At 50.1% G+C, this 14681-nt stretch overlaps 1 protein-coding gene across 42 annotated transcripts in view; it reads right to left on the reverse strand.

Moving 5' to 3' along the window:
- Positions 1-14681, reverse strand: part of RBFOX3 (RNA binding fox-1 homolog 3) — a 576227-nt gene that overhangs the window by 471524 nt on the left and 90022 nt on the right. For 6 of the 42 annotated variants that reach the window (NM_001385843.1, NM_001385823.1, NM_001385847.1 and 3 more), the window contains exon 1: positions 1390-1688. The exons of the other annotated variants lie outside the window; for them this stretch is intronic. The gene's annotated coding sequence lies outside the window, so the exon portion shown is untranslated. Of the gene's footprint in view, positions 1-1389; positions 1689-14681 lie in introns of those variants that run through there. 42 annotated transcript variants of the gene reach the window in all.

Genomic DNA, 14681 nt, shown 5'->3' on the forward strand with positions numbered 1-14681 from the left:
TAGGAAGGATGCTTGGTCCCATTTCACAGTTGGGGAAACGGAAGCTCATGGGGATTCAATAACTTGTCCAAGACCACGTGTGTAATAAGAAGTGAAGCCAGCATTTGGACCCCAGCCAACTCTATGGGCCAGGCTCCCCACCAGACAGAGCTGGGGGCGCCTGGCCTCTCCCACAATCAGCTGCACCCTCAAAGGAGGATGTGTTCACAATTCAAACAAATAGACCTTGCACTACAGTGAGTCCAAAAGAGGAGTCTCAAAATCTTTAGAGATTTGGAACAGATGCTTAGAACTTAGTAAGGTGACTGCTTTGCAAAGGGTCCTTTTGCCATTTTAAAAAAGTCACTACCATGTATGCCCCTGGGGGCTTAAGTTCACCACCGTGCTCCAAGGGTTCAAAGGGAGTGTCAGGGGTGCCAGAAATAGAGCCCAGCCTTGCCAGGGCTGAGCAGCCGGCAAGCCCAGCTTCCAGGAAGAAACGCTGGACAGTCAGCCCTTCCCCAGGCTCTCCAAATCCTAGACCTCCCTCTGCTCCAGTCACCCCCAAGGATTAAGGGTGAGCAGAGACCACCACTGCAGATTCAGATGACAGAGAGCAAGGGTCGCCAAACTCAGGAGTCCCCAGAGACACACGAACGAGGCTGACCCCACACCCCAGCTCCACGAGGCCACTGGGTCAGCGCCTTTCCATCAGCCGATGTCACCGCTGAAACTGAAAAGCGGTGCGTGTTGGTGACAGCAGTGAGTGCCCAGTGTATGCAGACCCCTCGAGGCAAGCACCACCCAGCTGGGCACTGAAGCAGGTGTCCTCACAGCAAACTCTGCAAAAGGAGCCCTCCCTTCATCCCGGCCCGAGTCACAGAGCAGCAACCAGCGTCCTGAGGGCAGCCCTCACCTCTTCCCAAGAGAGGGGCACATGAGGGTAGGGACTTAGACCCAAAGCAGGCTCAGGCTCCCGTCCACACCTGTGTCTGGTGGGGACGGGCAGGAACGCCCAGCAAAGATGTCATCCCTGGCATCAGGGGGAGGGACATTGGGCTTCCCATGCATGGTGCTATGAGTCCCACTGCTGGGTGGGCAGCAGAAGAGATGGGCAGCGGCCCACACAGCTCACCTCATGGGGACAAGCTAATCACTCCATTCCAAAATGCAAGCTGGCAGCCACTCAGCAGCCACCAAAGGCCACCAAAAGGGGCAGACCAGTACGTCTGTGACATGCATTAGCAAATTCATTAGTGAAATTAATTCTCCCCCTAAACAGCTGAGATTGTGTTAAACAAAGCCTTGTAGAATGGTTCGTGGACTCCTTTTTTCTTTATTCCTGCCTGCAAGGAATAGCATGCCGGCTGAGACTACTGGGAACCGGGAATGGAAGTCCTGAGCCCTCACCCGAGTCGGCGGCTTCCCCATCCACACACGGAGCTGAGTGCCTCTAGGGCCAGAGTCCTGTGGCTCTCTCCGCCGTCCATCTCCTCTCTTGAGTACTTGAGCCTTGTCTTTTTTTCTTCCTCTCCCCTTGAAAAATCAAGTAGCATGCATGTTGGGTTTCGCTGGATGCTAGAGATTAGATTGCATCTGTCTGGATATAAATAATTTACTGCTTGATGGTCAGAGGGAATTTAATTAGTTCTTGTTCTCCTGATAGAATCAGCCCACCATTGCTAAAACATTTCACTCCGAATTAGTCTGAAAGGGGCCAACAAGGCAATGCTAATTTTATACACATGACGTCCCCCGCAGCTTCTGAAAATACACATCCAGCACGAAGTACCACCCGGGCTGTTGCTGCTGCCGCTTCGGTGTCTGGGGGCGCCAGAGAAAGTCCATGGAGGGTGGGCCCCGGCCCCGGCTGGAGATAAGGGAATCGGGGTAGGGGCCAGAACCCTGCTGCCTGCCACATACAACCTTCTCCTCCCAGCTCCAGATAAAAGGAGCAGGGACCCTAATGACATGATGATCAATGAGTCCACGGGGCCCAGGTAAGGGGCTCGTACCCACCCCAGGAATCCAGCAGGAAAGACTCGACAGAGCTGTGCTGGGATTTTTTCCCCTCTGCAGAGCACGGCTCTGCTGGACGCCTGCCTCCCACCTGCCTAGGGAAATCACAGCTCAGATGAAAACCTGGAGATGAGGCCCTGTGCCAGCCAGCACTCGCCCACTGCCTCCGCCTGGCCCCTGCGCAGCAGCAGAGCGGGCGGGGGGAGCAAGAAGGCCTGGTTTGTCCTGAAGTTCCCTTTAGGAACATTTGAAATGAAGCGGATCTCAGAAAACAAGCCAACAGGATCAATAGCCCACAAAAACCACCAACAAAAGGATGTTTTAAAATGTGGGCCAGGTAGCCAACGGGTCTTTGAAAAAAAAAAAACAAAAAAACAAGAATCTCTAAGGAATGTTCAATGAGAAGGAAGAGGATGAACAAGCCAGAGGCTGACTCATCTATTGATCAGACTGTCCCTTCAGAGACAGCGGCCTGGTGAGGCAGGAAATGAAACGCCTCGCTTCCGTCTGCAAGGAAAGGGCAGGATCCCTACGCCCCACTGCCCTCAGCAGCCCCTTAGGGGGAAGATGAAGGCAGCCACTTCTCAGCATGTTTCTCTCTCTGGCCTACAGCACATTTGATTTCATGGCATGATTTAAAGGAGTGCCTGTTTCACCACAACCTTCCCAGCATTGTGTGTTAGCATTTTTTAAGTCTTTGCTAACAATCTGGGAAAAGAGGTGTTACGTTGTTGACATTGGTACAGGTTTGATTACTCGTGAGATGAGTTTCCTTTCCATATACTAGAGGAGTAGAATAGGTCTTCTCTTGCTCTTTTTTCTTGGCACATTCTTTTCCTTTGGAGTTAAACCAATCCATCTTCAGTGCCTTGCCTGAATCCCCCACTGGCCGGGAGTCTAGGTCTGAGGGCGTCTTGTCGCTATTTGCTTGTGCAATACATGTTCTCCACCCACAGAGCTGGCATTTAATAAATATTTGTTGGGTAAACCAGAGGATGGAGTTGAGGAAGTTCTCCCATGAGTCATAAAAGCATTCTTCATATAGACAAAAGCAACAAGAATAATGATTCTAAGAAAAATGTCTCCCATTAAGTGAGCACTAACTATGCTACGTACCCTATGCCAGGCTGAGTACCCTGCACATTTCATGGTTTTGCTTCCCCACTGTGACACTCAGCCCCAAAACAGATGGAGGACCTGCAGCTTCTTTGGGGTCAGTACCTTACCCAAGGTCACACAGCTAAGGAAAGAACCAGCATTTAAATCAGGCAAGGTGGCTTCTGGCTTTGCCCTGAGCCATCCTGCTCTCCCCGAAGCCCAAACCATCAGGCTCTTTTTGCCATGCAGCTCCCATTTGACTTCCTTTCATTCATTGAACAGTCCTTCCCTATGCACTTTGAGCCAGATGAAACAGACAAGGTTCCCAATAGCAGCAAACCCAAAATGGCATTAATCGTGCTGGGAAGAAAACCAGGAGCTGGTGTAGTGGGAACCTGCCTGAAGGGGCAACATTCTCACCTATTACCTTGGTGAAGGTGGCATCTAGGGATAATGGCCGAGCTGGCCTTGCTGGCTGGTGGGGGCTGGTGTGCACATCTTAATAGGAGCCGAACCTTCCTGGAGGACGCCTTAGCAGAACGGTGCTGGAGCCTCAAGAACATTTATATTCCTTGACCCAGGAATTCTACTTCTAGGAATTGATCCTACAGAAATAATCAGAGGCGCAGACCAAGATTTATGTACAAGGAAGTTAATCACAGGATTATTTATAACGCAGAAAAAAACTGGAAACAACCCAAACAGCCGACAGTACAGGAAAGAGGAAACAAATTATGAATTTTGGGGACATCCACACCACAGACTAGTCAGCAGCCACTGAAGTGTGTGGTTGTGGTAGAAGCTCGGTGGCTCACGCCTGTAATCGCAGCACTTTAGGAGGCTGAGGTGGGCAGATCACGAGGTCAGGAGTTCGAGACCAGCCTGGCCAATATGGTGAAACCCCATCTTTACTAAAAAATACAAAAATTAGCCGGGCGTGCTGGCACACGCCTGTAGTCCCAGCTATTCAGGGAGCTGAGGCAGGAGAATTGCTTGAACCCGGGAGGCGGAGTTGCAGTGAGCAGAGATCACACCACTGCTCTCCAGCCTGGGCAACAGAGCGAGACTCTGTCTCAAAAAAAAAAAAAAAAAGAGTGATGCTTACCTTGTCATATTAAGTAAAAACAGGGTACAGACTATATATAAATATCATTCTAATTTTATTTTAAAATATGTATTTTTTTAAAAGACTGCTAGGAAATATACCAAAATGTTAAAGTAGTTATCTCTGGGTGGGAAGATTAAGGTAAGGTTATGATTGATTTTTGTTCCCATCTCTACCCTCTTCTGTGCTTTCTCTACTTTTTGCAAAGAGACACTATTTACTATAAGCATAGAAAATATTTTTTAAGAAGCAAACAATACATTTAGGACATCTTTTTTTTTTTTTTTTGAGACAGAGACTCGCTCTGTTGCCTAGGCTGGACTGCAACAGCATGATCTCAGCTCACTGCAACCTCTGCCTCCCAGGTTCAAGCGATTCTCCTGCCTCAGCCTCCCAAGTAGCTGAGATTACAGGCATGCACTACCACACCCAATAATTTTTTTGTATTTTTAGTAAAGATGGGGTTTCACCATGTTGGTCAGGCTGGTCTCGAACCCCTGACCGCAATTGATCCGCCCACCTTGGCTTCCCAAAGTGCTGGGGTTACAGGTGTGAGCCATCATGCCCAGCCTAGCACATCTATTTTTTGGCAATAGAATTCATTTTGGAGTCTTACTTGATTAATCAAAGTCCTTTTAAAGTAGGGCATAAAGATCTTAACATAAGACCCTGGCAGTGCCCTATCTGAGAAAGGGTAGAGCAGGGTCTCCTCCTTTCTTCTGCAGACAATACTTCTATGAATGCAACCCAAGACCACTCTGCATTTTGGATGCAGCTCTGTCACACTGCTGGCTCACGCTACAGCTTGCTAAGTCATACATGCAACCAGCTAGCTCTGTCTCACCATCACAGGCTTGGAGAGCTTGGCTATTTGGACCCCAGTATTTTGGGTTCTACTAAATTGTATTTTGCTAGCTTCACCCTACCATTCTGACTGTCGAGATATATTTAGATCCTAAGCTTGTCTACGAAGCACTCTCACCAATCCTTCCAGCTCCCTGTCATCCTCGGATTTAATAACTCTGCCACCTGCGCCCCATCCGAGACATCAGCAGCCACAAGGAACAGGGAGAAGGTGCTGATAGAGCCCTATGGCACATCTCTAGAGACCTCCCTCTATGTTTCTTCTACTTGTTAATCAGCTTTCATTTGTTATTCAACCAATTACGAATGATGAATGAGCCCTCCCTTTGCGTAAGCACGTCTTGCCATAGTCCCTATTTAAGCCTCACCAGGCTGGGCCTGGGGTCTCCACTCATCCACTGTAAGAAGCGGCCAGCGCTAAAGAGCCTTCCTCAGTAGCTCCGTCCTTCATCACCATGGTCCTGCAGCTCCAGGGGGACTCTCAGGTGCATGCAGGAAAACTGGTAAGACCAGCTTTGGCCCAGCACCGCATCCATCCATGTGCTGTGCATCCTGGGGTGGGCCAGGGGACGGGGGAAGAGCTGAGGTCCACAGCAGATCCTAAAGCCAAACCGCCAGAACCCCAGTCCTTCCATGCTTTGAGGAAAGTCTTGCAATGATGGACAGAATCAGCCAGTGGAGATGAGGCTGTGCTGGGTCCCCAACAACCCAGGCCACTCCAGCCAAGATGCTGACCTGCCTGTGGGCCTAGGGCACTGTGGTTGCCCTCAACCCCAGAGGCAGAAGCCTTGCTTGCCACTGTTCATAACCAGTATCTGTGGTTCATTCGTTCTGTGGGACATCCAGCACCTTCAGCCGAGCATTGCCCCAGAGGGGACACGAGGCAGTTACAATGGCTGGGCCCTGGCACCTGATGGGACAGGTCCAAGCCCCATCCGGCAAGGCAAGAGTCACCAGCAATTTGCTTCACTTGTTCTTAAGCAAATTACCTGGTTCATGTGCACCTCTGTTCTCTTCTTTGTAAAATGAGGTCACAATAAATTCTTGTTAATGGAAGTCACCCTGCAACCGAGGACTCACTCCTCCTATCTAGCTGCAATTTCATGTCTGTTAACCAACTTCCTCCCATCTTCCTCTTCCCGTTCTCCTTCCCAGCCTCAGAATCCTCTCTGCTTCCATGAGCTCAACTCTTTTGAGTTCCCACGTATGAGTGAGAACATGTGCTATTTTTTTTCTTTCTTTCTTTCTTTTTTTTTTTTTTTTTTTTTGAGACAGGGTCTCACTCTGTCGCCCAGGCTGGAGTGCAGTGGTGTGATCTCGGCTCACTGCAACCTCCAGCTCCCAGGTTCAAGCGATTCTCCTGAGTCAGCCTCCCTAGTAGCTGGGATTATAGGTGCCCACCACTATGCCCAGCTAATTTTTGTATTTTTTGGTAGAGATGGGGTTTTACCATGTTGGCCAGGCTGATCTTGAACTCCTGACCTTAAGTGATCTGCCCGCCTTGGCCTTCCGAAGTGCTGGGATTACAGGCGTGAGCCACCGCACCCAGCCAGGATTTACCTTTCTGTGCCTGGCTTATTTCATTTAACATGACGTCCTCCAGATTCATCCATGTTGCCATAAATGACAGGTTTCCCTGATTTGATCATTACACACTGTATATATGCATCAAAATATTGCTTTGTATCCCATAAATATGTACAGCTATTATGTGTCAACTAAAAATAAAGGGAATAAGTAAATAAATAAACTAGGTGACTCCTTGTCCGTACCTCTTAGGGCTGTCGTAAGGATTTGCTGAGATGCTACGTGCCAAGTTCCTGGCAGGGAAGAGCGATCTTTAACAGAGTCCTTGCTGGGACTCCATCTCCAGGCTCTCCAAGCCAGGGCTAGCCAAGTCAAATCAATAAAGAAAACCCTCTTTTCTTCCAATTCAACACATTCAGAATTTGAAAATCAATTTGAAATTCATATAAAAGAACCTGCCTGACCTTTACCTCTGCACTGTCTATTAAGAGATGGTTTGCAGACCAAATCAATGATGTAAAGTCTCCTGGAACCCTTCTAGGATGCTCCCAGAACAGCATGGGTGCCCGCTCTCCAGTGACAGTCACACTGCGTGTACTTGCGCTGGGTACTTCTTATCTTCCAGAGCAATAGCCTGCTGGAAGGAGTGCGGGCTCACCTTTCCCTCACCCCTGCCAGCCCCCAAGCTGGGGTGACACACATCTAGAGTACAAAGACTTTATCTGGTCTTGGAAGCAAACATCCAAGGCCCCCACTAAGCAACACTATGCTGTAAACTCAGTACCGATACCACAAGCAAGTCCATGTGCTGAGAGAACAGAGAACCGATTCCTTTTATCACACAGCCTGAGCATCTCAAATCTGAAAATCCAAAATGCTCCAAAATCTAAAACTTTGTGAGCACTGACATGATGCTCAAAGCAAATGCTCACTGGAGCATTTTGGTTCTTGGATTTTTAGGTTTGAGACACTCAACTGATAAGTATAAAGCAAATATTCCAAAATAAAAAAAAAATCCAAAATCTGAAATACTTCTGGTCCCAACCATTTCAGATAAGGGATATGCAACTGGTAGGCAAACTTCTGCTGGTTCCCCTGACTCCCACCACAACTAAAGCTGGGGGTAATGCCCCTTCTTCAATGTTTCTCCAGTGCTGGGGGCCACCCACCCACAGCACCCTCGATACATTCCAAAGAGGTGATTCCTCCTCATGAGAGCCTGGGAAGACTCAAGAGACCCCCATGCCCTGTATGGTGAAAAAAGGCTAATTTCCCAGCTCCGCCCCCATTTAAAAAATCCTTCGCTCTGAAGGCGACTGGTTGGCCCATAAGCCAGATTCCTGTGTCCCACTCACCACCACCAAGGGCAAACTGGCCAGACCCCCAGGACCTGCTCCGTGGAAAGCACCTGAGTCAGCGAGACCCCTGCCGCCCCACCTCCCAGAGCTCCGGACCCAGTGAGGATGTGCTGAGGGGTGATGGGGGCTACCTCCCCACTAGATGCTTAGGTATCTGCCTTCTCCTCAACCCACCCACCTTGAGAAATACCCCCACTAGCCTCTCAGGTAGGTTTCTTTATTCTTGTTTTAGGGGATTTTTTCATTGTGGAAACATCTATAGCAAGAAAAAAAAAAAAACCTTGCCATTTCAAACCATTTTTCAGTGTACAATTCAGTGGCCTTAATTACATATCAAATGTTGTGCACCCATGACTATGACCCACTTCCAGAACTTTTCTATCACCCCAAACAGAAACTCCATTCCTATTAAACAATAGCTCCCCACTCCCCCCAAGCCCTGGCAACCACTCGTCTACCCTCTGTCTGTATGGATTTGTATTCCAGTTATTTCATCTAAGTGGAATCATGCAACGTGTGGCCTTTTGTGTCTGGCTTCTTTCACTCAGCACATCATTTTTAGGGTTCATCCATGCTGTAGACTGTCAGAGCTTCATTCCCTTCTATGGCTACGCACTATTCCATTGTGTGGATATACTACATTTTGTTTGCCCACTCACCTGTTGACGGACATTTGGGCTGTTTCACTATTGTGTGGTGAATGATGATGCAGTGAACATTGGCATACAAGTATCTGTGTCCTTGTTTTCAATTCCTTTGGGTATATGTCAGTAGATTTCTTTAATCTGCCAACCTGCAGATTAAACCTGCAGATTAAATAAATGCTAACGTGCATTTATTCCATTTGCTGTTACTTAGCGGGGCCTGCTGCAAACATTGTACCAGATGCAAGATATTCTGGTGGCCAAGGTCAACATCTAAGAGTGTTTGGATGGATGGAAAGATAGAAAATCGATGGATGATGGATAACAGATGGATGGTGTATGAACAGATGAATTATGGATGGATGGTGAACGGGCAGATGGATAGTAGAGAAGGAATGGACAGATGGATTATGGATGGATGGATAGGTAGATTATGGATAGATGGTAGATGGATGAATGGCAAATGGACAGATGGATAATAGATGGATGGTAGATTGATAGGTGGATTATAGATGGATGGTAGATGGATGGATGGATAGATGAGTTATAGATGGATGGTATATGAACAGATGAATTATGGATGGATGGTGAATGGGCAGATGGATAGTAGAGAAGGAATGGACAGATGGATTATGGATGGATGGATAGGTAGATTATGGATGGTAGATGGATGAATGGCAAATGGACAGATGGATAATAGATGGATGGTAGATGGATAGGTGGATTATAGATGGATAGTAGATGGATGGATGGATAGATGAATTATAGATGGATGGTATATGAACAGATGAATTACGGACAGATGGTGAATGGGCAGATGGATAGTAGAGAAGGAATGGACAGATGGATTATGGATGGATGGATAGGTGGATTACAGATAGATGGTGGATGGATGAATGGTAGATGGACAGATGGATAATAGATGGATGGTAGATAGAAGATAGATAGATGGATTATAGGTGGATAGATGGGCAGATGGATAATATATGGAGGATGAATGGGTGGACAGATGGATGGACAGACATCACAGCCACGTTGCTCCTCCCTTCCCCCTACTGACTGGCACAGCAGCAGTCTAAGAACTTCTGAGCGGGCCTGCCTTCATTTGTCTCAAACCTTGTCTGTATCTGAGTAATGTTTCCCACCAACAGTGTTGGCTGCCACTAGCTCTCAAGCCCTCCTGTCCCTTAGGGTCACCTGGACAGCATTTCCAAAGTGACACTTACAGACCCCACCCCTGGGGACCCTGACTCCACACTCTAGGGTGGAGCTCACAGTCAGTGCTTTTCATGAACTCTCGGGTGGCTCAGGGGATCGGCCAGGGCTGGGAACCCCTGATGCAGGGCTCACATCTTTCCAGGAGTGGGCCTGTGGGCCGGGCTGCTTTGCATGCCTTGCAATAGCTGTGGGTTGCTTTTAAAAAATAGAATGTCATGTCTCAGGAAGGATGAAGAAACCTGTAAACCACAGATAAGAGACTCTTACTGAAGGATGAGGGGGGGCCCCCGGGAGAAAAGAATTTTTTATAAAATAGAGTGGCAGGGAGGAGGAGTGAGGCCAAAAATGCTGCAATGAAGTTAATCTATTAGGTAATTATTGTAATGCCAGTTCCACGTCCCCGGCCCTGGCCTAGCTGTCATTTAACTCGTTGAAAAGGATGTTTCTCATTACTGGAATTTTACCCTTTGGACTAACAATCTGGTAGCATCAGGCATTCAAGATTCTTAAGGAATCCCAGGGTCCCCTAGCATCTCTGGGTTCTTGAAAGAAGTCAGCATTGTGGCTTCCAAATATCCCCAAATCAAGAAAATGGCAGAGCCTGCCCTAGAGCCAGCAGATTATGGTCCTTGCTGTACAGCTGACCCCTGAGCAGAGCCCTGACCTGGCCTCTGTCAAGCCTGGCTAGGACAGGCTACGGCCAGGCCTCCCTCTCCCTTCTGCCTATGCCTGCGGGTGCCATATCCTCTCCACTGCCAGCCCAGAGTCTTCCTCGAGGCCCCATCATAAAAGAAGTGTCATAAGTGTTTTTCATCTGCTTGGGTGTCCCCACTCCCACCCCCCGCCCCCCCAACCACTCTCTTCCATCACAGAAATTCAGATTTAAATGGAAGTGTACCAGGATAATTTGATCAGGTTGTCTTAAACCTGGAGTCTCATATTTGTGATCTACAGTTTTAATTAAGCTTTGAATCTCCACTGCAGGATCTCACGTTATCTTGCTGCATCGCACCAAGCAAGGGTGGTGGGTCAGGACGCAGCCGACCTGGCCAAGACTGGATGTTCGTGAACTTGCTGCAGGGGGTCTGGCTTCCTCTTCCTGCTCCTTGAGTAGACTCTAATCCAAGGATCCCTCAAGGAGGGAATGAGGTAGGCAACAGGAAGGCCTGTGGTGGCGACAATAGAATGGGCAGAAGACTGTGCCTATGAGCACCCCGGGTGTGGCCTGCTCACCTCCCCCCAGCGTCCTATCTCACTGCCGACCCCTCACCTGCAGGACTTTTGTCATAAGAAGGTGATTTGCTGGGAGCCATCGGGTGCAGACACTACCTGGTGCTAAGTATTCTCTCATTTAACCCTCCTGGGCATCCCGAGAGGCGGGTGTTATTATCACTCCTCCCATCTTATACACGGGGAAACTAAGGCATCAAGAGGCTGTTTGACTTGCCCAGGGTCACACAATTAGGGCAGTGGGGACTGGGCTGGGATTCAGGTCCCCCTGCAGCCTGACACAGAGCCCCTAACACACCTGCTGCCCAGACCATGGTCCATTTGGTGCTCAGACCAGGGCATTCCCCTGCCCCTGGCAGTGAGTCTTTAGGGCAGCATCGCCCCGCCACCCGGCTTAGCCATCCCTGAACCCACAGTCCTTGGGGCACCTGGAGTGGCTTCTCCTCAGGCAAGGTCCCTGTGTCCAGGAGCTCATTGTGGCCCCAGTGCCTAACACCCAGCAGGTGCCCACCCACCATGCACACCCATGGATGAAGCCGAGGCCGATCCCACCCCTCTTGCCCCTTCTCCCAGACCCCTCCCACCCCAGCTCTGCCCACCAGGCCTCCCTGGTGGATCCTGAAGGCCTTCAGCCCTCTCAACAGGGTGGGGGGAGGGAGGGGGAAGGGGAGCCAAGCTGAAGGCAGTGGGAGCTGAGCCCTTTCCCCGGAGGTGGCCCCAGGTGAGTACCACAGTCTTAAGTATTTATTAACAAAGGCAGGAGGGCAGCCAGCCTGTCTGATTACTTTATGGCCTACAGCGGTTTGCAAACGTGCGTGTTTCCCAAGGCTCATTGTCTCACAGCAAAGACCTGGGGAAGCTCAGCTGCTCATTAGGGCTCTGAGGACCAGAATAATGGCCACGCTGCAGGGACGCAGAGGCTGGCCACCCGTGCTGCCCTGAGGTGCCTTCCGGATTCCCCACCCACCCTCACCCCATGCAGGCTTGCCAAATTTGGCAGATAAGACAGCATAGCCAGTAAAACACTAATTCCAGAGAGAAGACAAAACAATTATAGGATAAGTATATCCCATGCAATCTTTGGGACACACTCATACTAAGCAATTATTGTGTATCTGCAATTCCAGTTTACCTGGGCGTCCTGGGTACACCTGGCAGCCCTGCCTCTACGGCACCTGACACCTTTCCTGCTTATGCCTCAGGCATTTCCTCTTCTTTCTGTCCCCTCTCCCTGAAGATTCCCAGAGGGGCAAGAGCCAAGCCCAGCCACTCTAGAAGTCACCCTCTCCAGAGCGCAGCAGCAGAGCCACTGGAAATACTTCCTCCAAGCCTGAGACAGATGAAAAGGAGAGAAAGACCAAGGCCACGGGGAACAAAGGCAGAGGGAGCTGGGCATCGAGACTGGGCTCTGGAAGGAGCTGCACGCAGCACTGCATCCACACACACACACCTGTGGGACGACTCTGGGCTATGCAGTCCCCAGCCGTGCTTTGAGGCCTTTCAATCTTGCAGGACCTCGTGCAGCCTGGAGGAGGGGCTTCCAGGCTGAGCACTCGGAGCCCACGGCCCTGGAGACACTCTCTGGTCTGCAGAGGGGCTCCAGGCAAGGAGAGAGGCCCTTCAAGGCTTTCACCCTGACTTCCCCAGCACGGGAAGAACAGGCACCTGTCCCTTTAACAAGCTCTCTCCATCCTACAGCTGTGACCACTTGATGTGAATGATTGCTGCTGAGAACCTCATCTGGGATTTTCCAATGCGATGATTCAAGCCTAGCTGTGTTCAAAAACCTCCCCTTCCGCCTTGCCATCTTCCTCTGGAATGTTCTGTCCCCTCCCCTCCCCCCGGCATCACCTGCCTCCAATCTCCATCCTACTTGGAGTTTTTCTCTCTGAATCTGCCCGGTGGGGGGAGGGTGCCTAAAGCAGAGCCACGCGGGCACGTTCACCAGCTGGAGAAAGACAATGCCTCCTTCTCCTCCCTGGCTCAGGACAACATTCTCTAGGAATAAACTAAACTGCGGAGGTGGGAAACCAGGCGGGGAGGAGAAAAACAGAAACTCCAGCGTCTCCACCCATGAAGAAGGGGTGCGAGCCCCCAGGGGTGGGCTGCCCACTGGAGAAGGTGGGCTGGCCCTCAAGGGAGCAGGTCAGCAAGGAAGGGATCCAAAAGGAGAAATCTGAGGGGTTGTTTAAAAAGTCCTCACGGAGAAGTTACAGAAGGTGGATCTTCATCCCTCTCAACCCTTAGGATTAAGGGTCCCCTTGTCAAAGGGAGGAGGGAATATGTCAGCGGCGTTTGAACCAGAGCAACTCCATCTTGAATAGGGGCTGGGCAGAATGAGGCTGAGGCCTGCTGGACTGCATTCCCTGGACATTAAGGCATTCTTAGTCACAGGATGAGACAGGAGGTCAAGTGATACAGGTCACAAAGTCCCAGCTGCTAAAACAGGATGCAGTAAAGAAGCCGGCCAAAACCCACCAAAACCAAGATGGCGATCAAAGTGAACTCCAGTCATCCTCACTGCTCACTGTGCGGTAATTATAATGGATTAGCTGCTAAGAGACACCCCCGCCAGCACCATGACAGTTTACAAATGCCATAGCAACATCAGGAAGTTACCTTGTACCGTCTAAAAAGGGGAGGAACCCTCAGGTCCGGGAAATTCCCATCCTTCTTCCAGAAAACTCATGAATAATCCACCCCTTGTTTAGCATGTAATCAAGAAGTAACTATAAGTATACTCCGTTGAGTAGCCCATGCCGCTGCTCCGCCTATGGAGTAGCCATTCTTTTATTCCTTTACTTTCCTAATAAACTTGCTTTTCACTTTAAAAAAGAAAAAAGGCTTCACAGGTTCGCTGAGTGAGAGCGTGGTGAGCCACTGCCACGCTGGTGCCAGAGACAGGCCAGGGTCCAGCCTCCCAGGTGGTACCCAGAGCCCTCCTCAAACTGTCACATGTCCCCCAGCCACATGGGGATCTCATTGAAGGGCAGGTTCTGAGTCAGCAGGTCTGGGCCAGGCCTGAGTTTGCATCTCTAACCAGCTCCTGCGTGATGCCGCTGCTGGTCCAAGGATCGCACTTTGAGTGGCACAGTGGTTCCCAACTTTGAGTGCATACTGGAACCAGCCAAGGAGTTTCAAAATGACTGCTGCCCTGGGGTCTACCCCCTAGGTTCTGAAGGCAGCCTGGGTATGGGGGCTGTGAAGCCCCCCAGGCGATTCCAACATGGAGCCTGGGCCCAGAACCCCTGATCTAAGAGGAAAGGCGCTGGTTCAACGCACACCCAGCAATTAGTTATGAATTACAGCATGGATGTCCTGCAGACAAGGACAGGTATGAAACGCTGTGAGGGCATGCAACAGGGAAATGGGGGCTCTTGAGTTAAGGGGCAGGAACGAGTACATGGGATAGGGGGGCAGAGTGAGGGAGACAAAGGGGCCACTTTCCAGGGCCCTGAGGCCAGGGAAGACAAGGTGCTAAGAACTCCGGGAGGCCACAGAGCTACGATGGAAGTGGGTCGAGGTGCAGGGGCAGCCAGCAGGGCTGGGGGACGGACCTCATGCCATAGGTAGGAGCTCCATCTTCCAAAAGCCACGGGAAGCCCTTTGAGGTGTTTTGAATATAGTAGTGACAAGGTC

Source organism: Homo sapiens, chromosome 17, assembly GCF_000001405.40.
Source record: "Homo sapiens chromosome 17, GRCh38.p14 Primary Assembly".
NCBI lineage: Eukaryota > Metazoa > Chordata > Mammalia > Primates > Hominidae > Homo > Homo sapiens.